At 40.4% G+C, this 22,339-nt stretch overlaps 1 pseudogene, besides 2 other annotated features; it reads left to right on the top strand.

Annotated features, from left to right (window-relative positions):
* Positions 16,793-17,035, top strand: LOC107985222 (cytochrome c oxidase subunit 7B, mitochondrial-like; annotated as a pseudogene).
* Positions 17,153-17,828: an enhancer, noted in NCBI's record as "H3K4me1 hESC enhancer chr1:162948548-162949223 (GRCh37/hg19 assembly coordinates)". NCBI's record gives its function as "activates a minimal SCP1, AML or CMV promoter by ChIP-STARR-seq in primed H9 embryonic stem cells {active_cell/tissue: H9 hESC(primed)}" and the evidence as "EXISTENCE:reporter gene assay evidence [ECO:0000049][PMID:30033119]".
* Positions 17,829-18,505: an enhancer, noted in NCBI's record as "NANOG-H3K4me1 hESC enhancer chr1:162947871-162948547 (GRCh37/hg19 assembly coordinates)". NCBI's record gives its function as "activates a minimal SCP1, AML or CMV promoter by ChIP-STARR-seq in naive H9 embryonic stem cells {active_cell/tissue: H9 hESC(naive)}" and the evidence as "EXISTENCE:reporter gene assay evidence [ECO:0000049][PMID:30033119]".

Below are 22,339 nucleotides of genomic sequence, written 5' to 3'. Positions count from 1 at the left end.
AGGCATATTCATTACTTCCAGTTTGGGATGATTATACACAAAGCTTCCATAAACATTTATGTCCAGGAATTTGCATGGACCTAAGTTTTAAACTCAACTGGGTCAGTATTTAGGAGCACAATCACTTGATTGCATAAGACTATGCTTAACTTTGTAAAAAACTGCCAAACTGTCTTCTTAATGGCTGACTTATTTTGCATTCTTTTCTGTAACAAATAAGGGTTCCTGTTCCTCTGCTCCTTCCCAATATTTAATATTGCCAGGTTTGGGGAATTTTAAACATTCTAATAGGTGTATAGTGGTCTCTCCTTGTTGTTTTATTTTGCAATTCCCTAATGATGTCTAATGATTAAGATTTTTTATGTGAATTTTCCATCTGTATATTCTTTTTGGTGAAATATCTGTTCAGATCTTTTGCCCATTTTTTAATAGGGTGGTTTGCTTTTCTATTGTTGAGCTTTAAAAGTCTGTATATTTGGGATTCCAGTCCTCTATCAGATATGTGTTTTGCAAGTATTTTACCTCAGTCTGTTTCTTGTCTTTTCATTCTCTTAACAGTGTCTCAAAAATATTTTAATTTTCATGAAGTCCAGCTTATCAATTTTTTTCTTTCATGGATCATGTATTTGCTGTTGTACATAAAAATTTATCACCAAGCCTAAGGTCACCAGATTTTCTCCTGTGCTGTCTTCTAGAAATGTTATAGTTTTGCATTTTACATTTAGGTCTATGATCCATTTTGAGTTAATTTTTTTGAATGGTGTAAGGTTTGAGTCTACATGCTTTTTTGGGAGAATATGGATTTTCAGTTGTTCCAGCACCATTTGTTGAAAAGATAGATTATCCTTTTTCCGCTGAATTGCCTTTGCTCACTTGTGGAAGATCAGTTGACTATATTTGGTGGGCCTATTTCTGGATTCTCAAGTCTGTTCCACTGGTCTATGTGTTTATTCTGTTGCCAATATAATGCTTTTTGGAATTATTTTCAACTTTTCATGTTAATATAATACATATCAAAAGTGAATAAGGCACAAGTGTCCAACTCAATGAATTGTCACAAAGTGAACACATCTGTGAAACCAGCTCCCAAATCAGAAAACAGCATTACCAGCACCTCAGAAGCTCCCTTTCTCCCTTCAGTTTCTACATCTTCCAAGGATAATCACAATCCTGACATCCAATAGCATTGGTTAGTTATACCTTTTAAATTTTTTACTTAAATATCAGAGAATATGCATTTTTTTGTGTCTGGCTTCTTTCACTCAACATTATGTTTTTAAGAGTCATCCATATTCATGTATACAGTTTTAGTTCATTCTCACTACTGTTTAATATTACAGCAATGGGCATTTGATTAGGCTTAGTTTTGACCTATATAACAGTGCTGCTATGAACATTCCAGTATGTGTCTTTTGGCAAACAGATGTTTGCATTTCTTTTGAGTATATGCCTAGGAATGATATTGCTGAGTTATCAGAGACACACAGGGACAGCTTTAGTAGATATTGCCAAACTTTTTTTCAGAAGTGGCTGCACCAGTGTTCACTTGGCATTCTCAGTATATGGTTGGGCATAGGGCTTTATTAAAGTTCCTCAGATGATTTTAATGTTCAGACAAGTTTGAGACCCACTGTTTGAAAAACCTCCTAAAATAGATTTTTTTTCACTTTTTTTTTAACTTTTAAGTTCAGAGGTATAAGTGCAGGTTTGATACATAGGTAAACTTATGTCATGGGGGTTTGTTGTACAGATTAATTTCATCACCCATGTATTAAGCCAAGTTCCCATTAGTTATGTTTCCTGATCCTTTCCCTCCTCCCACCTTCTACCCTCTGAAAGACCCTAGTGTGTGTTATTCCCCTCTATGTGTCCATGTGTTCTCATTATTTAGCTCCCATTTATAAGTGAGAACATGTGGTATTTGGTTTTCTTTTCCTGCGTTAATTTGCTAAGGATAATGGCCTCCACCTCCATCCATGTCCCTGCAAAGGACATGATCTCATTCCTAAGATAGAATTTTCTATGTCTGTTTACTATACCACCATTCATTGGCACACACACACCTCCACCACCACCACCACCACCAAGTAATGATATATATTTTTAAAAAATAGGACATCATGTATTTTCTGATCTTAACACCTTTAAGGATTTCTACCTCCATTCATATTTGATTACAACCACACTGTCTCATGGGCTTCCCTCAAATTTATATAGATTGGGGTCCACACGCAATGTACATTCTCTAGTAAGTTCAAAAGACTCTTGACTCTGCCATGTAAAGTTGCTCTCAACTTTAATGTTACTCTGGGTGTGTCAGCAGGGACAGATTGTCCCTCATACAGATCCTGGTAGAGAAGGATCTGTTTGTATTATATTTTAGAAGGACACAGATACAAGAGTGGATAAACAATAATTGATCTTTCGAAAACAGCATTAGGTTGTGCTGTCTCTGTGGCTTAGCAACCAGACCTCGTACATGTGGAAAGAGTGTCACATGGAGACTATGAATCCCTAAGGTTGGAGACTCAGCTCACAGAAATGAGAAGGAAGGTCAGATACTGCTCAAATGCCACATAATAAAATTTTGTTATAATGGTTGCATTTCTAAGAATCACATTCTTGTTTTGCAACAGCTGGAGACGAGTTTGTTTCTCTGAAGTGAATTAGGAAGCAAAAAGAAGTATTTTTCCTGTAGTAAGAGGCATAGGAAAATGATACAGAAGCCCCCATTCCTAAGCTGTTTCTCCCCTAAGCTCTTTGAGGGGGAGATCAGATACCTTTTATTACGGAAAGAAACTGGGATGTTTGGGCTGGAAGGAGGTCCATAGACTAAATGGAATTTTATAGGACCAAAGAGTACTGTGCTAAAGCCCAAATTCTTCATTTCAGTTCAAAAACATAAAACATAATTTACATTCTCAGGAGCAAATAGTAAGAAAAAGACTCTCTCTTGTTCCCAGTTTAGTACAAACCCATTGTATTTCAGATCTTCCTCAATCAAAACCCAACTGCTATTCCATGCCTCATCTCTCTCTTTATACTTCCTCCTGCTATGTTATCTTGTCACACTACTACACTTTAACTATACATACATAGATTTGCATGATTTTGTGACTTTTCCATATTCTCTCCAATTGGAATGCCTTTCTCCTTTCTTATACCCCATTTAAATTTTCTCTATCTCTTCAAAGCCAACTCAAATGCTACCTCCTCCAGGAAGTCTTCTTCAGATTTTCCTAGCATTAGAAGGCATTTCTTTCTTTTTCTCTAATCATATTCCTTTATACTTATGTTTACTAATTATTTCATTTGGCCTCAGTTTATGGTTAGTCTGTTTATAAGCCTCTACATTTAATGTATGGTAAGCTTCTTAGGAACAAGGTTCTGTTTTGTTTACTTAGAGGTTGTATTTTCCACAGCATCTGGACAATGTCTTGGACGTAGTAAATGCCATGCTAACTTGAACAGGATTTGTCCAAGAAAAAAGAGAAGGATTTTTGGTACTAGGTTAACCGTTGTAGAGAACGCCTTGAAAAAAAAAAAATGAGGAGAAAATGAGTCATCTACTAGAGTATGGGAATGACTTTCTTTTATTGTTACTCTCACAAACACCTATTTGTGCCTATGAGATTTCACCTATGCAATATTTTCCTTCACTCATCTTCACTAGTCTCACCAAGAATAGCTAGTGACTGCATGCCAACCCCTGATTCTATGAGAATAAGCTTCCCCTATGGCTGAATATAACAGAGGTAAGGCATTGGCATGGCTGCAGGGGGGTGATAGAGAAGGATTGGGGCAATTCACTTCCCTATAGTCAGGGAAAACAGAGGGAAAGATTGATCATTAAGTAGTCTTAACGAGATTTAGATTACTTTTGTCATGATTAATCCCTAGAGGAAATAGGTTTCCAGTTCAAGAAAATAATTATTTTCTTTGCAGCAGCTGCTGCTAAACAGCAACACACACGTGCAAGGACTCTCACATGGAGAATGGCTTGGGCCTCCTCCATTGCCACCCCGCATCTCCCCCCACAACTCCTGGGTGAAAGAACAGGCAGTCGAAGATTCCATGGCCTAAATTAATTCTATTTCATCCCCAGGAATAATGAAGGCAATAGCCATAAAATTTCCATTGCATCTGGATAAATAATCACAAGAGAGAATTATAGGAGTCTCAGTAATTGTTCATGGGTTTATTTCTTTGAAGGCATGTCTTATTCTATGCTTCTCTTGCACCTGAGATAGAGGGTTGCTCGAGATAGGGGTTCCATCAACTTTTGTTAAACGTGTTGATTTATTTATTTGTTGAATATCTACTTGTCTATTGGCCTGTGGCTTTATCTACTAAATATTCCCTGTCTACTTTGTCTTTCTAAATTGCACCCATCGTTCAAATAACATTTCTTCATAAAGCCTTCTTGCTTTATTCTTAAAGCACTTACTGGCAGAATTCTGTAACTCGGTCCAAAATTGAGCAAATAGAATGAGGTCTTTGTTCTATTTAACCTCTCCAATGCCTTGCTTATTTGCCTTTCCCAACTAAACTTTTTCAAAGAGCTGACTGATTTAGACCAATGCCTCTCAAATCTGAACATGCACTGAAGTCACCTGAAGGGTGCCAGCACAGGCGTTTCTGATTCAGCAAGTCTGCTGTGAGGTGGTATATCTAGAAGTCCTAGATGATTCTAATGCCTCTGGTCCAGTGCCTACCCTTTGAGAACCCTTGATTTGGGGGAACCTTGTTACAGCATTAAAGTGTGTCAGCACCACTCTTCTTTCTAAATCTCTCGCTCACCTGCTTAATGAGACCCCTAATACCTCATAGAGATTCCAGTCTTCTCGCCACAGCACGCACATGGGGCAGGTGATCGCCTGTTGCCCTACTCCATCTCACACCAAACAGCCCCCTCCAGCTCTGCTGGGCCTTTTGTGGTTTCCTGAAGATCTGCAATGCTGTTTCAACTTGTTTGCAGTACCCGTACCTCTGGTTTGCAGTACCAGTATCTCTCCAGCTACAGAGATCTAGCTGGAGTATTCTTCAACAAGTTTTTGTTTAACCTTCAAAATTCAATTCCCACGGCCACCTCTCCTGTCTGCTTTCTCTAACTCCCATTTCTGCCTGCTTTGCCTCCCCCCACTCTCCTTCTTGAACCTCTCCACATTTGCACACATGAAGTTAACTAATTTGTCCTCTAGCCTTCGCATAACATAGTATCTGCCTCCATTTCCACTCACCACATTACTTCAGTTTTTTGTTTTTTTTGTTTTTAAGAGATGGAGTCTCGCTCCATCACCCAGGCTGGAGTGCAGTGACGACTCAATCTTGGTTCACTGCAACCTCCGCCTCCCGGGTTCAAGGAATTCTCCTGCCTCAGCCTCCCGAGTAGCTGGGACTACAGGCACATGCCGCCACACCTGGCTAATTTTTTTTTTTTTTTTGTAGTAGAGATGGGGTTTCACCATGTTTCCCAGACTGGTCTCAAACTTCTGAGCTCAGGCAATCCTCCCGCCTTGGCCTCCCAGAGTGCTAGGATTACAGGTGTGAGCCACTGCACACAGCCTGGATTTTTTAAATGTTAGTCAGCCTCCCGCTACTGAGTATGAGTTCCTTGGGGGCTGGAATGATACCTTCTGGATTTTTTAAGGGGAATGGCCATTAAGTATTAACATAAATGAACATCTGAGGTTGGATATGTGTTTTACGTTGCCCTCTTGAAATAAGATAAGCGGGTATGGTGAAGGAGTCACAGTGATTAATGGATAAGAATACCAGAAGCCATGGTCATGAGATTAGGGAAAATGTTGAAAAACTCCCTGAATAATGCCAGTGTTCATGGCTGTAAAGTTTATGACAATAAACTATGACAAACACTGTGAGAACAGTGAAAGAAAAGCCTAATACTTTGGGGTACACTGAAAAAATCAGGGTGCTGCACCTTGTGATGGCTTTTCATAATGAGCATCGAATGCCATGAACTGCACTTAGTTCTCTCCAGAAGTCACCCTTCTTCTTTTTCTCACAGAATTTCCACTGATGCCATTGCTTGAAGGGAGGCTTGGTAAGTGCTTGAAAAGAGTGTCCTCATCTTGGCTCCAGAGAGCCCACTGACAGATGACACACAAAGACAATAAAGGTGGGCTGACGTAAAACCTCACAGGACAGGAGACAGGACGAGGGCAATGTGTCTCTTTAGAAACGTGAATTCTTGAGGCTCTTCAAATACACATTTAGTGAGATTAAAAAGAACATCTCTAGCTTTTTGTAAAATGTAGAACCTTGAAGTCAGCATCTTTACTCTCAGTGTGGAAGGTGCCAAAGAAATAACATTTAACAGAAGTCTAGAAATGTCCCCTCAGCTTAAGAGAATGGGTCCAAAAAGGTGACATCGAGTCCTTTTGTCTTTTCACTTGGATCCCACATTGGACACATGGTTTGTCTGTGCTATCCACAGCAAGACTGGAGTGGGGAGGATGTGGCTGGAGCAGGGAGGATTTCTGTGGAGAAGCCTATGCTCAAATATGGATCTGCCCCTATAATGTGTTCCCTAGGCATGAAATGAGGTTAAATTCCAAAGCCTTCAGTATAGAGTACAATTTTAATGCATATACTTTAGTTGGAATGAAGAATTTGTGCAGGGAAGGGCCTGAGAGCAGATTTTAGATGGAGCAGGGCAAAGAAGAGAATATAGGTTGGGGAGAAGGAATCACTGTTTAGGGGAATAGCTCAACAAGAGACTGTGGTTGACAGAGGAAAATGCCATAACCTGTCCTAGGGGTAAGAAGGCACCTGTGCTTTCTTCTAAAGTCCTCCAATTCCTGATCTGAAAACTGGCAATGATGACCGGCTCTTGCCTCTTTGATCTAGAGATACACATTTTCTTCACACAGCGAGGGAGACATCCACTGCACAGCTACTGCCATTTTCTTCCTGGGACCCATTTCAACTCTCAAGTTCTATAACTTCACAATTCTTCAAGAGAAAAAAATAGGAGGAATAAATATTAAGTATGTGCTAATTCTTTCTGATGAGCTGAATTTGGGGTGGTGATGAGGGTTTGTAGGGGGTTGCATGGGAATGATCATTTACACTCGTAGGATATTAGAAGTGTTAAGGATTTTATTTCTGTTTTAATCCTACAGGCTTTACATTGTATATAGATCGCTGCAGAAAAAGTATGTGACTTATCCAAGATCACTAAGTAGTGGCTGTGTTTATTCTAGTTAGAAAACCTCCTGAACTCACTACCTTATGAGATTTCCATTAGAACTTTAATTGCAATTGGCTTAGAGCATTCTAAAGCTGAGTGATGAAATGGGGAGAGATAAGCTGGAATTCTAAACTACTTGGAAACCACATGATCCTTAAACAACCTTGACCCAATGCCCCGGGGATGGGAAAGGATACTGAGATCAATCGTTTTATCTCCTTTCATAGGACGCATGTGAGGGGCAGCAGTGTCCCTGATCTAAAATCCACCAGGTGCCTCAGAGGGTTCTGCAGGTCTTTTCCCAAGATAGAGCATCCCCTGGAGGTGGGAAACTTGTAATGACACCTTCCTTTACCTCACTCCCCATTAGTGTCACCTGGGGAATCCAGTCTAGGGGTGGAGGAACAGGGTCTGACAAAGGGATTTCAAAGTCTTGCTTTGAAAACAGCTTTAGAATGCTCTAAGCCAATTGCAATTAAAGTTCTAATGGAAATCTCATAGGGTAGTGAGTTCAGGAGGTTTTCTAACTAGAATAAACACAGCCACTAATTAGTGATCTTGGATAAGTGACATACACACACAGGTATAACTGGTGGCTATTTTGTCATGATGCACTTCTCTACCTGACTCTCCAAAGCCTACTGTCATAGCTGTGTGCTCTGCTGAGTCCACTACCCTGTGCTGCCTACTAGCAAACAGCAACCTGGCTTTTCAGATAGCATAGTTCAGAGTACCCACACATCTTGCCACCATGCATGGGTGCCCCACCTTGCTTGAACTTCTCCTAGGGTCCCTTTAAGGCATTCAGAAACAGGAACATAGTTGTCCAGAGCTAATCATGAAGATGGCTGTATGGCTGTAACTGAGAGCTGTGGCGGGGGACGATGAGTGGGCTCTGTGCTCAGAAGCCTCTGTAGCAGATCTGTTGTTCAAGGCCAGAAAGGGCCAGGGAGATAGGCCAGGCAGGTAAGACATTTTTGCCCTCCTTTTCCTTCTTCACCCTCATTAGTCAAAGAAGTTCTCCAAAATAGCAAACTTTTCTTAAACCAGGACTCCACATATGGGCCAGGGAACTGAGATATATCCAAAATATCAAGGGTTACCAGGTGCTTAATTTGCAATATGAGGAGGAGCTCCTTGGAATCTCATTTTCATGGGATGAGAATGGTGCTGGTATAGGTAAAAATTCATGAGAGGGAGAGGAGCTGGAGAAGCCCTTCTCACGGCAAAGCTACTGAAGAGATCTCTTTGCCTGAGACAAGGCCATAAGCACCTGGATCACTCCCAGGGCTGCAAGCTTATTCACCTCTGACTCACAGGATGACTGTGATTAAATTTCATTATCCATTCAGTCTCCAGGTCTAGAGGTTTTTGGTTTTAGGTAGACTATAAGCTTCAGCTCCTCTAAAGGGTTTTTGACTAATGTGCACTGTTATTGAATCACAGTAGATTTTCACACATTCATAATTATTCCTCTGAAGCAGCACATATTCACTGTTATCTCTGGATAAGAGGAGCAGAGAGAACAACAATGTCATTTCACTCCTTTCTTCTAAGAGATGGATGCAATTTGTGACCTAGTTTTTTGAGTACCCTGAATTCCCTTGGGGCTGAAGAAAAGAACACAGCTTTGAAAGGCTGAAGTGAGGATCAAATGAGAAAATAAAATATGTTGCCATAGACCCCCCAGGACTCCCTCACACTAATGAGGGGTGCTGCAGGGAAGTCGGGGGGTGGTTATTCACTGTGCTATGCCTAGTGATACACATAAAAACAGAAAAAAAATGTGCATATAGGAGATAATGATGAATCCTGTTATTATACTGCCTAAATTTGTAATGGAATAGATCATTTTGATTTTCAATCTGCCTGAATTCCTTATTAAGAGATGCCTAACTTATATGTCAGTTTTAAATTATGGATGCCAAGTACAGGGTAATAGTAAAATTGGGTTTCCAGAGGATGCACAAACCCATTTAAGATTTTGGGGAAAAAAAGGTTAAATAGCTACTCCTATGTTTAGGCTGAGCCAGGAATAAAACAGACAGGAAAACTGGTGTTCTATGAGTGATCAAAGAAGCCCACATGATGGGGTCTATACCCATACTCACACCATTCAACATCTCCAATCTACATTTGAGTAACTGATTTTCCAAACATCTAAATGCTACAGGGCAGTTCAGTATGGGGTCTATAGGCTTTCAGTAACCCCCTCTTCCCCATACATTCCCTCCCAAGCTAAGCTGCTTCTGTCAGTAGACATGGAAATTTTGCTGTGTAATTGGAAATGTAGAAGGAAATTCTTGTTAGAGAAAGAGGGGCGAGGTAAAGATGGAGAAAGACAGAGGAGATGGTACAGAATCTTTTTCTACATTTCTTCATCCATGAGAATGCATACCTTGACCTCACCATCCCAAATGCTAATATTTGCTGTTTTACAGTTAAGAGATATTACTAGCAGAAAGGAGATACTCTAGCAAGACCTATTCTTATGTTTCCATTTTGCAGGAGGCCGAGAAGAAGGAAGTGATTCCAGAAAGGTATCACCATTCCTCAGTTACGAAACCCAAGTGAGACCACAATATCCTGACTTCCAGTCTAGAGCTATCTGTAATGCAATAAATCTCTTCACAGGAGCATATACACTGGGAACGGGAACTCTCACAGGTAAGAAAATCCTTCAAGCTCCAAATAAATGAAATAGAAAATTTGCATGCTCAATAAGTGACAGGATAATGAAGAAACAGTTGTATTCTGTCTATACTAACACAACTTAGCAGCTTTCCAAAGTGATGGTGAAATGGCGGCAAGGTTCTGGAATAAAAAATGTATATTTTTATAAGACTAAAATATGTCTGGCCGGAACTAAAAAGCAGCATTGCAACTCCCATAAAGAGGGAATTTCATACAAGGTGAGTAGGGTGAAAGTGGGGGTGAAATGACAGATTGTGCGGCCAACTACTTATTTCTACTTGAGGATGGCCTTAACTACTCCCTCTCCAAAACTAAACCTGTTCAGTGTATCAGTAAAGCTAAATTGATCTGAGTTGCTATGGGAACACAGAAAGGAGTTCCTGGAAATGTAATAATAATTGCTGTCATCTAAAAGGGCAGTAGCTTTCTACTTCAATATCCTCCCATATGTCTGCATTAAGCTGACATTAGCAAATGGGTGTCAAAAGTCATTTGCATGCTAATTGCTAGGAGGATAACTTGCAGTGTTGGGTGCTGCTCTACTGAGCTGATTTGCTAAAGGAAAAGTTTTTCATTGTTTTTCCAGATTCAAATTCTTTTTGCATGGTATGGTTTGGCTGCCTGGGAAAGAATCCAAATGTTACCTCTCTCACAAGACACACATCTCAGGGCCCACGTAGGTCAGGGTAAGAGCTACACATTTGCATGTGGTCAGTGTATAGAGCTTGGTTTCTTAAGCTTGACAAACATCTGACAAACATTGGAAACTTCATAAGCATCTTTACTTGGTGAATTATTTGTGTTTTAGAGGAGGTAGTAGGGAAATGGAGTGTTCATGATTTCGAGAGTCAAAGAATGGAATCAGAATCACGAACCTGAAAGATGGCCTAAGGGAATCTGCTGGTTGGTCCCTTGCTACTCAAAGTATGATCCACTCATCAGCAGCACTGGCATAATCTAGAAGCTTGCCAGTGATGCAGAATTTCAGACCCTGCCCTAGACCTAATATATCAGAATCTACACTTTAACAAGATCCCTAGGTGATTTGTTTGCACATTGAAGTTTGAGAAGCATTAGTGTGGTCTAATGCTTTTACAAATAAGATGACTGAAGCCTGGAGAAGAGAAGTGACTTGCTAATGTCTTGTTGAAGATTAATAATAGCACCAGAACAAAACTCCAGTGTCTCTGAGAGTAAGACTTCTGCCATTACTCCACGTAGGCTCTCAGTAGCTGTGGTTGGGGCACGATGTTAGAAGTGGCATCCAAGACTTTCTGACTTTGTCCCTAGTTTTATGCCATCCCAAGCACTGTCCCTTTTCCAATTTCAAATTTGCACGTATTGCTGGCCCTGGTAATGTGCTCAGATTGGCCAATTTGAGTGCCAGTTTTGGGAGTGCTCCATTGTCCTGCAAAAGTAGCTGATGATAGTTGCATTCCAAATGAAAGAATAGATCTCTAGTCTTTACCTTTCCTGTATCCTCTTTCAAGGCCTCCAACAGGGGCAATCAATATGTCTTTGTGAATTACTCCAAAGAGGAATGTTTCTCCCATTTTCTAAAAGCTAGAAGCAAGGTCTTTTTCTGATAATTATAGGAATAAACAAGTGAGAACCAATAGGGAACCCAAAGAAGTATCAGATGCTTCCTTCCTCCCCAGTGCTCATAAAGCAAAGCTCTCCCTAGGCTAGAGCAAGCCTGGGTCCGTGTTCCATGTTTCACATATGAATCAGTGTAGACTGTGATTGTTTTTGCATCTCCCTTAATACCCTTTACTCCACCTCACCCAAAAGATAAGCCTATTAGAAAGTGACGTACATCCTGCTTCCAGATACAAGAGATGCCTGAGAACACAGTAATTTCCTGTAACTCTTAAAGCCTAGGATGAACTTGGCATGCCTCATTTCTACTATCCTACTTCTCACATAAATTTCTGTGTTGACTCTTCTAGGCCCATTAATCTTCACATTATTTTTGGAACATAATTCATTTAATTCCCAATTTCTTATTTTTGTTCTAGCCATTTGTTTCTGACATCTACTGCTGCATAACAAATCACACCCAAAACTTAGTGGCTTAACACAAGAATAGTTTTTATTATCTCTCATGATTTTATGAATTGACTGGGTGTCCAGCTGGACATTTCTTCTCCACATGGAGTCTGCCGGGGCTATAGTTATCTGGGGACGTCACTGGTGGGAACACTTAAGATGGCTCATTCACATGCCTTGGCAGGGCTGGGTTCATCTGGGTTGTTGGTAGGACTGAGTCTCTCTCTTTCTCTCTTAACTTGGCCTCTCTAGATGTTCTCTCTAGTAAGGTAGACTTCTTATATGGCAGCTTAGGGCTCCCAAAACCACAAAAGCACAGTTTCTGCACCTTATTATGGCTTCAGTCCTGAACAGGCACCATATTAACTCCACCATTATTGTTGGTTAAAGTGAGTCACAAGAGAAGCCCAGAGACTACCAACCACAGGATTCTCAAAGAGCTTGCAGGGAAAACCAAATTTCCTTCTTTTTGCTAATCATTGTCTCTTATCTGCTCCAAAACCAGGGGAGTTCTTAATCTAGAAGTCTGTAAGTACATTTCAAGAGAGTCTATCAATATCTAAAAATTGTATTTTTACACATATTTTGAGTCGTAATGCATAGGTGGTGCACTTTTCTAGGTAAAGGATCCCTAGAATTATTGTGCTAAACAATTCTAAAAATGAGATTCTCAAAGGGTGGGTCTATGACCCAAAGAAGGCTGCAACGTTGGAATGAATGAATCACACCTGATTCTACATGCCATCTGCCCAATAATTATGTGTTGTTGTAGGTCTTTTGAAGATACATGATATGTGCTTATAATGCCTCCCACCAACTAGTTTTGAAATTCTGCTAAGGCAAGAGTCATATCTCTTCTTTATCTCAAGACTCCCTAGTTTTTAGCACTGTCTTTTAAATAATATTAATATACGCTGCATAATACATGTAGACTGATTTCCTATGAAGGGTTTATCTGAGTCTTTGTGTAAGAAGAACATAGACACAATAACCATGACTAGCATCATTCTTACCATACATTTTCTCACCCCTTTCAGTTTAAAATGCTTTCATGTGTCTTATTTGATACTTATCTAATATGAGTCTATAAGGTCAGCAGAACAGATGTTATCATGATATTATTTTTTGTGCTAAGGAAACTGAAGTTTGCATAATCTCTCTCAAAGATTTAGAGCTAGTTAGAGAAGGAACTAGGGCTGAAGTCCAATACTTCTGATTTCCACTGACCCTGGCTGTGTAGCATGAGCCACTGCGATGAGAAGGAGTGAGCACAGCGAGATAGATGTGAAAAACCAGAAGAGCAAAAAGAATAAGAATTCAAGCTTTAGCATGCATCAGGATTACTTGGAGGGCCTGTTAAGCTACAGATTGTTGGCCCCACCAACAGAGTTTCTGACTCACTAGGTGGGGACAGAGAGTTTACATTTTTAATAAGTTCCTAGGTAATGCTGATGCTGCTGGTCTGGTCTGGGGACCACATTTTGAGAGCCACTGGTCTAATCTGTAGTCACATATGATAAGAGAAACTTCCCTGAGCCTAGTGCTTCCATTAATATGAATTCATTGATGGTCCGAATATGGTTGTCACTCATTTCTGGTCTGTATTTTTTACACTCAAAAGTGAGTAATTAGAAACTCTCCCTCATCCAAAATGAACACATACCAGCACCCTTACATACCACCCTCTGCTCTGAAATGAAGGAGATCACCCTGGTAGTCAGATGCCACAAAAGTCCTTCACTTTTCATTGCCCTGAGTCAAGAGGAAAGGTCCATAAAGGAAAAGTTAATAACATGAACCTTTTAGAATGGGGAAATGAGTGTATGCATCATCCACTTACCGCTGACAGGGAATAGTTAACTGCATCAGAATTTGAGAATTATGTTCATCAGGTTATTTGGATCTTAATAATAACATAACAGAATATATCAAGGGCTAATTTTTTAAAAATACATATTTACATGAAATTATTTTATTACCAGTTTTGTAGAAGAAATGTATCCTCTTTATTTCTTAATAAGCATATTTAGGTGCTCTCTTACAATCCCTCCAGAAGCAGGTCTTGCACAATCCCCATCTTTGAATTCAAAAAAAATTCCTGAAAGACTTATTGAGGCTGGTGAACTGATAAACTCTTCATTAATGAAAAGGAGAAATGAAATTGGCCCAGTGACATGGCATTATGGAAACCTTCCTTTTTAGCCTTAAGGTCATCTTGCAGAGCACAGAGCATACTTTGAGGGGCAATGACTGTCCCTTGCCCCTTTAAGGGCTCAGGCTGTCACAAGATTGTGGAAAGCATTTATCATTTGCATTGGGAAAGGTTAATGTATTCTTCCCAAATATAAGCTCCTGTTTATGCAAAACCATGTCTCTCCTATTTGCCCTGCCAGAGCTCTGATCCAAGCTCGTATTTGAAAATTGATGGTCTCAGGTAGATATTAAAGGATTTCTAGGGCAGAACACGCTGTTGTTAATGCAATAGGGAGGAGTCTTATGTAGTCAAAATCATCTGGAATTGAATTGGTCTTTATCAAATAGAACACTTAGATTCCTATTAAATGTTCCTGTGTGGTTAGGGAAATGGCAGTTCTTCCAGAACTGCAGGCAAGAACTCTTTACTCTTTTACGTAGAGCACCTAGGAGTGGCGAGGACTGCCAGACCTGTATGATTGCTTGTTAACAGAACTGTCAGCCAAGTCAGGATGACTTATGGGCCTTCCCCTACACAGGTCCACCACTAAGAGTCCAGGGATAGAAAGAAGGAATTTTTAAAAAGACATACTTTCCAGATGAGAAAACTGAGGCATGTTAAAAAGAGATGGTTTCAAATTGTCACAGTTACAATTTAAGATAGAGCCAGACACCCTCCATTTCCATTAGTTGCTTCTGACAACAAACATTTGAGAATGTGATCATTTTAGAGCATGTAGTCAAATATACTCACTTAACAAAGTAGAAAATTAAGGTTTCACAGCACCTAAGACACACGGCTAGTTAGAAGCAGAGTCTGGAAAAGACGTAGGTGTCTTGACTCTGAGTTCATTGCTTAATCCATGCCTCTCTTTCTCTGGGCTTAAAATATTAGTTATGAGAAAGGTGATTTTGTAATCAAACAGACAATTTCATGGTGTGACTTAAAGAAGTGCTGGGTAAATCCTTTGTTCCAAAAATCTATCCTAATGCTTATTAGTTCATTATTGGAGTTTTACTCTTTGGGTCTCAAAGCCTTTTGTTCTCAGTTTTTCTATGCCAAACCTCTGGGAGACCTAAGTCTTACCAACTTTCACCTTATATCATTGCTAATCATCAGCAAAGAGCAAGACCCAAAAGGAACCAAAATGGTACCTCTTAAGGGGCCCAACAACAGCCAAAATGAAAAAGAAAACAAATAGGTAGGGCCAAAACAGATCTCTCACGTTCTGTAGTTTTCTTCTCTTTACGTTCTGCTTGGTGCTAAAACCTAAGCCTCTGAAAAGCCTAGACTCCCTCAACAAATAATCTTGACTTCCATTGGCTTCATCTGCTTATTGTTCTGAGCTGCTTGACCACAGAGCAGGGTTTCTGTGGAGGCTGAATTATGAGTCTCTCTGGTTCAGGCCCAGGAACTTTATATAATGTGAGAGTCCCTGAACAGGGCATACTGTAGCTGTCTCTCTGCTCCCACATATTTACATTTTATCCAAACAAGTAAACTGCTTTCAATTATCAGGGAATCAAAAAGAAAACACTTATCACTAAAGGGTAATATGAGGGGTGGGTATGGAAGAAGGGAATCCCTTTGCTAAGGGAGTTGGAGAAGGTGTTTATAGACTGACAGCATATTTCTATTCTGTTCTATTTTACTACAGATTAACTAAATCATCTTTTCCACAGCTGTATGCCCCTCAGACTCTAGTTAACCTACGGCAAAAGAATCCCACTAAGTCACTGCTCAGAGTGTCACCTCAATTGGCTGTATGGTGATTCTGCTGGGCATGAGTGCTCACATGTTTCTATAGGATGGCCCAAAATTTTAGGGACATTTTCCCCTTTTTGTTTAAGTCCTCATCTATCCTGAGCATTCAGATGATGGAGTAAGAAAAAATGGCAGGTAATAAAACAAGCACGGGAAGGTAGAACCGGATTCAAGTTCAGAGTCTTTGCTCACTTGCTGGGTGACTTACCCATGCATGTCCTTCAACTAAGATGTAAGCACTTACTATATTAGAGCCATTGTTCTTAGAACTGTTGCCCAAATCTACCAATAACTGTTCCCTCATATGTAAAATGGGAATCATTTATCATTTTATCAATACTTTGTAGGACTATCTGGGGATTAAATGAGACAACATGTGAGTTCCTTATCTACTGTAGGCACACAATAAGTAACAAATATTATTTTGGTGGTGCATGTTATTTTATCCTTAAAAGTAAAGTTTGAAGGCAGGGTGCAGTGGCTTACGCCTGTAATCCCAGCAGTTTGAGAGGCCAAGGCAGACGGATCACTTGAGGTCAGGAGTTCTAAACCACCCTGGCCAGCATGGTGAAACACTGTCTCTACTAAAAATACAAAAAATTAGCTGGGCATGGTGATGGGTGCCTGTAATCCCAGCTACTTGGGAGGCTGAGGCAGGAGAATCGCTTGAACCTGGGAGGTGGAGATGGCAGTGAGCTGAGATCACGCCACTGCGCTCCAGCCTGGGCAACAGAGGAAGACTCAGTCCCAGGAAAAAAAAAAAAAAAAAAAAGTAAAGTGTGAGTGGTTTTTGTGTTTCAGCACTCTTCAAAGGTACCTGAAGTGAATTTGCACCAAAGCAGCAGCTGCATTTCCTCAGTTCTATCTTCACCTTCACGATGTTTCCCTTGGTCAAAAATTCACTAAGTCATCTCCATGTTCCAAGCATTTGGCAAACAATGGCAAGGCAGAGCCACCAGAAACGTATATCTGATTTTCATGATAAAGACGGTAACGCTGTATTAGCTAGTGGAGACACTATCTGTATTGCTGTATGGACATATGTAGCAACACAAATCACAATAAAAGGGAACCTGTCCACTGTTGGCAGAGTCACCCTAAAGAAATGGAGAGATCAGTAATCATCCCAGCTGGTATAGTATTGAATTGTTTAAAAAAATACCTCATAATCAATGCCAAGTGAAAGCACTGTATACCCTTAAGATATGGCATTATTGAAGAAATAAATTTGAAACCTTCAAAAACAAACAAACAAAAATGGTAAATTCTAAGTTCTGCCTAGACCATGAGCTTGTTAAAAATCAGAGTCAATGTCTCATTCATCTTTGTTTTCCAACCCCTGTCAGAGTAACTTGCACATATCAAGCTCTCTATCCATCTTTGTGGAAATAAATGAGTAGTTAGAAATTAATAGATTGTTTAGTAATAGAGAAATACATAATTTCTCAATTCAAAGAAGTCACTGAGAACCTGGGAAAAAAGTAAAGAGTGTGTGTGTGTGTGTGTGTGTGTGTGTGTGTGTGTGTGTGTGTGTGATGAGGGATAAGAAGACAATAGGGAAGGCTGGGCGCGGTGGCTCACGCCTGTAATCCCAGCACTTCTGGAGGCGGAGGGGGGCGGCATCGCAAGGTCAGGAGATCGAGACCATCCTGGCTAACACGGTGAAACCCCCGTCTCTACTAAAAAAAAAATACAAAAACTTAGCAGGGCATTGTGGAGAGCGCCTGTAGTCCCAGCTACTCGGGAGGCTGAGGCAGGAGAATGGCGTGAACCCGGGAGGCGGAGCTTGCAGTGAGCCGAGATCGCGCCACTGCACTCCAGCCTGGGCGACAGAGCCAGACTCCGTCTCAAAAAAAAAAAAAAGAAGACCATAGGGGATACTGTGAAATCTCTATCAAATTCCCTCCCATCCACAAGTTAAACATTTAGTTTGCAGACAGTAAGTCATTAAATAATTCTTTCTAGGTCATTGTGGACTATTTGCTGTTCCATTTTTTTCACATGTGATTAATCTGAATGTGCAAATTAGGGATTTCAATGGGATTTGACTCACTTCCAGAGTCCTTGAGCTCTTGATGATATTTTTTCTTAAAATGAGGACCCCGCCTCCTTGTTTCCCACCCGCTTACTCTCTGGTTACCTTAAGTAATGAAGCCACATGGGAACACATCAGAGATTCTGATTCGGAATGCATCTGATTCCTTCCTGTTTGGATCAGTTTCTCGGCACCCAGTTCATTTCTGAAAGCACATCAATTCCAGGATGTGCAAGACCCTGGGACAGAGTATTCTCTCACCGTCTGCTAATGAGATAAGTGCCGCAAGTTAACAGGCGGCCACGGGAATAACAACAAGCACTCCAGTATGCATTTCCTCTAATTACCCATGTTTGTGTTCTTGCTAATTTGAGAGGGATTTCTGTGATGAGGCAAGGCTTCATTCCTTTTCCTCCCTCCCCTAACACTGGCCTTCTAAGGAATATCTATAAAATTTCCTCCTCTGCTGGTAGGACTGTACCACTAATTAAAGCACTGTGGACTAACATGGCCATCTGGATCCCATCTGTTGTTCTTCCAGAGACTGAGAGGGCAGCATGGAGGGCCAGAGTTGATCACTAGTTGATCAACTAACCTTCATCTCTGGTACTTTACATCTTAGTGAGAAGGTCAGAGATCAAGAGGGCACAATTGAATGTCACTTATGGGGCAGTGGAAGCACTTCCTCTGTTATATTGGTATATTTACATGGACTCAATTATACCAAGTCTTTACAATAGATTTAGTGCCATGTGGATCCTACAGATGGCATGAAAATAATATATGATATGGAGGCTGGCAGAGAGAGAAAGAAAGAGCAAGGACAGAGTCTTCAAGAAGAACAAGACCCATGTGGGCTTATTTCTATACCTCCAATAGCAGCCTGTAGGAAGTAACAAGAGTGACCCACTATTAACACCTATCATATACCAGGTGGTTCTTCTAAGCCTTGTATAACTTAAATGTCAGCCCCTGACTGTCCCTAAGTTCTCCAGCTTTTTGAAGTCATCTTGTCTTTTAACATTTAAGTAAAAATGGGCTTGAATGTCCCTCTTATGTACATTAGGAAACTTGGGGTCCTTCTCAATATCTCCAAGGGTTCTTAGGGTGCTCATATTCCTTGTAACTCCTCCTGTTTCTGAGTTCCTTCTCCCAAATAATGTATTTGATATTGCCTTGCATTTTATTATGAAAATTAGCAAACAGATGCAAAAGAAAAGAGTGCAATCAATCGGGTACTTAGCTTCAACAAGGGCCAATGTGTGATTAAAATTTTAAATCAATGTCTCTCACTTCCTACCATAACTGGATCATTTTAAAGAAAATCCTAGACACATTATTATTCCCAGGAATAATAATACTTCATTCATTAAAAATTCAGTGTGTATGGTGAACAGAGTGTAAGGTGATTCTCACCATTCCTATTTTCTGGTGTTTCTATTTTTATGTAGTTCCCTCCTTATGAGTGTGGGCAGAACGTGTGACTTCCCCCCAACCAATTGTGTGTACATAAGACTGTAATATCCATCCTTCTAGGAGATTCTCTCCCTTGTTGATTGGAAAAAGCCAGCTGCCATGTTGTGAGTATCCCATTTAAAAGGGCTATATGGCAAGGAACCGAGGGCAGCCTTCAGCTGACAGCCAGCAAGAAACCAAGATCCTCAGTCTGGTAGCTTGCAAGGCACTGAATTCTGCCAACAACTGCGTGAGCTTGGAAGTGGATCCTTCCTCAGTTAAGCCTTGGACAAGACCCAAGCCCTGTTGGACGCTTTAATTACAGCCTTGCAGAGAACCCAGCTAAGGCATGTTCAGACCTGATCCACAGAAACTGTGAGATAATCCATGTGTGTTGTTTTAAGCCTCTAAGTGTGTGGTAATTTGTTACACAGCACTGGTTAGCTAACACAGATACCTAGACAGCTGGTAAAGCATTATTTCTGGATGTGTCTGTGAGGGTGTTTCTGGAGGAGATTGGCATGTGAGTCAGTGAACTCTGTGGGCAAGAGCTGCCCTCAATGTAGGTGGGCACCATCCAATGTTGTTTTGTTGTATCTAGGGGCCCAGATAAAACAAAAAGGCAGAGGAAAGGTGAATTCACTCTCTCTCTCCTGAAGCTGGGGTACTTTTATCTCTTGCCCTTGGACATCAGAACTCCAGGTTCTCTGGCCTTTGGACTCTGGGACTTGCACCAGCTCCCGGCTTCTCAGGACTTCAGCCTCAGATTGAGAGTCACTCCATTAACTTTCCTGGTTTAAAAGCCTTTATACTTGGACTGAGAAACACCAACAGCTTCCCTGGGCTTCCAACTTGCAGATGACCTATCACAGGACTTCTCAGCCTCCATAATCGCATGAGCCAATTCTCCTAATAAGTCCCCTTTCACATATCTATTTATCTACATACGTATATCCTACTGGTTCTGTCTTTCTCAGGAACCCTGACCAATATAGTATGTATCTCTAAAAGATAAGGACATCAAAAAATATTACCGCGTCTAAAAATAAAGTGATTTCTTAACGTCATGAAATATCCAATTGCTCTCCAAATTTTCACAATTACAAAAGTCCACATGTTGCATTTAATTTTAATGCCTCTTAATTCTCCCTTAATTTTGAGATTGCCTTTTAAGTAAGGCAGTTTAGCTCCCTAGTTTCACTCTAGCCCATCCAAGGTGTTTCCAAAAACCTCACCTTCACACTAACCACATCCATTATAAGCTGCTTCTTAAACGATGAGAGCTCTCACTCTCTAAAAGGAATTCTAAGCATACCTCTTAAAGTAATAACATATTATATCTCTACTAAGTTTATAATCATAAAGAATGTGGGTATTTGCATTCTCATTTTACAGATGGGAAAATTAGTGTAGGTAACACATATAGAGAGGTGATAAATAGCAATGGTTTCCAAGAATGATGACGATTTCAGTGTGAAACAGAGAGTAGCAATGGCAAGAGATACAGCTAAGTAAATGTGGATGGTGAGGGACCCATTCTGCCTTGTTAAAAGGTTTGAACCCACCCTATAGACAATAAATCACTCAGTGAATCACTGAGCAATTTTAATTATGGAAGCAATGTGATCAGATTTATATTTAAGGCAAGAGGATTGGTGGCAATGTAGAAGGCAAACACAAGTCAGAAAGAGTTAGAAGTAAGAAAAGTGAGTAGTCTGAAGAAATTGGACACATAAGAGATGAGGGGGCTGGAATGACTAACTATGCATCTTATTCTGAAATATGTCTCTTAGGTAATTGATTATTGATACCCCACATCCAAATAGTGGGACAGTTAACTGAGATGTCAGAGCCAGCCTTTTCAACACTTCTAGAGAGAAATTTTGCAAAGACACATCTCTTGTACCTCCATGGACTTTTAATACAGATATGTTTATCATAAGATAACCTTCTAAAGAGCTCATGATAGCATATGATCAAACTCCTTATTGTACAGTCAGGAGGAATCAGCCTTGTTGAAGGAAGGGGCTTACCCAAAGTTACAAGTTGGGACAAAATTTTTGCTTCCAATTCACTGCTGTTCTTACTAGAACTGTTTTCTCCAGTCTCATAGAAGTTCTGAGAAACAATTAGGCCCACACTATCATCAACAGGCAAATATGTGTGCCTGACCAGACAGACAGAGAGGTATTTTGAGAGAGGCCAGGAATGAAACTGGTGAAGAGGCCCAGAGTTTCAATCCTGTTCTCACTCAAGATTCATCATCATCATCATCTTTACTATAAGGAAGAGGGCATTTAAAAGCACAAATGAGATTGTTAGTGATAAAAAGGTACTTATACACCAGCCAATTCCATCCTCCATTTTGCTGAGGCTCAAAGAGGTACAGTGACTTATCTTCGGTTATGTATGCAACTATTGCAGAGCTGGATATTGGACTTAGGCCTCCTGAAGCCCAGCACTGTGCCTGCAGGAGCATTCCCAACTCCTGTCTTTCTGCTCAATACATGGGGAAGAGACGAACAATTTAGGCTACTCAAAATGTGGTGGGCATTTGGGCTCTGGGGAGAGCTTCAGCATCTCTTCTCTCTTTTCATGTTCTCCAACTCCTCAAGCAACATACACACATAGCATAAAGATCACTAGCCAGCTATTTTCTGTCTTGAAAAATTTTTATGATAAGAGTTTTCTAATTAGGGAAAGCCACAGTTCATACACAAAACACAAATTACTAGGCTCTTTGTCTTTTTCAGAAGAAGTATTAATCCATAAATAAATATACTCTGTTGCCAAGTCACTACCATGCTGTATCACATGGCCAAAGGATGCCAAAAGGTATGAGCTCTTGGTGAATCCCAGCTATTGACAGCCAGGTGCTGGACCTTAACCAGAGGCATTGCTATAGGTGGTTAAGTATATGGGCTCTGGTCAGTGG

Source organism: Homo sapiens, chromosome 1 (genome assembly GCF_000001405.40).
Source record: "Homo sapiens chromosome 1, GRCh38.p14 Primary Assembly".
Taxonomy (NCBI): domain Eukaryota; kingdom Metazoa; phylum Chordata; class Mammalia; order Primates; family Hominidae; genus Homo; species Homo sapiens.
Note: the sequence above shows the minus strand (reverse complement) of the source record. Positions and strands in the feature narration are given on the sequence as shown.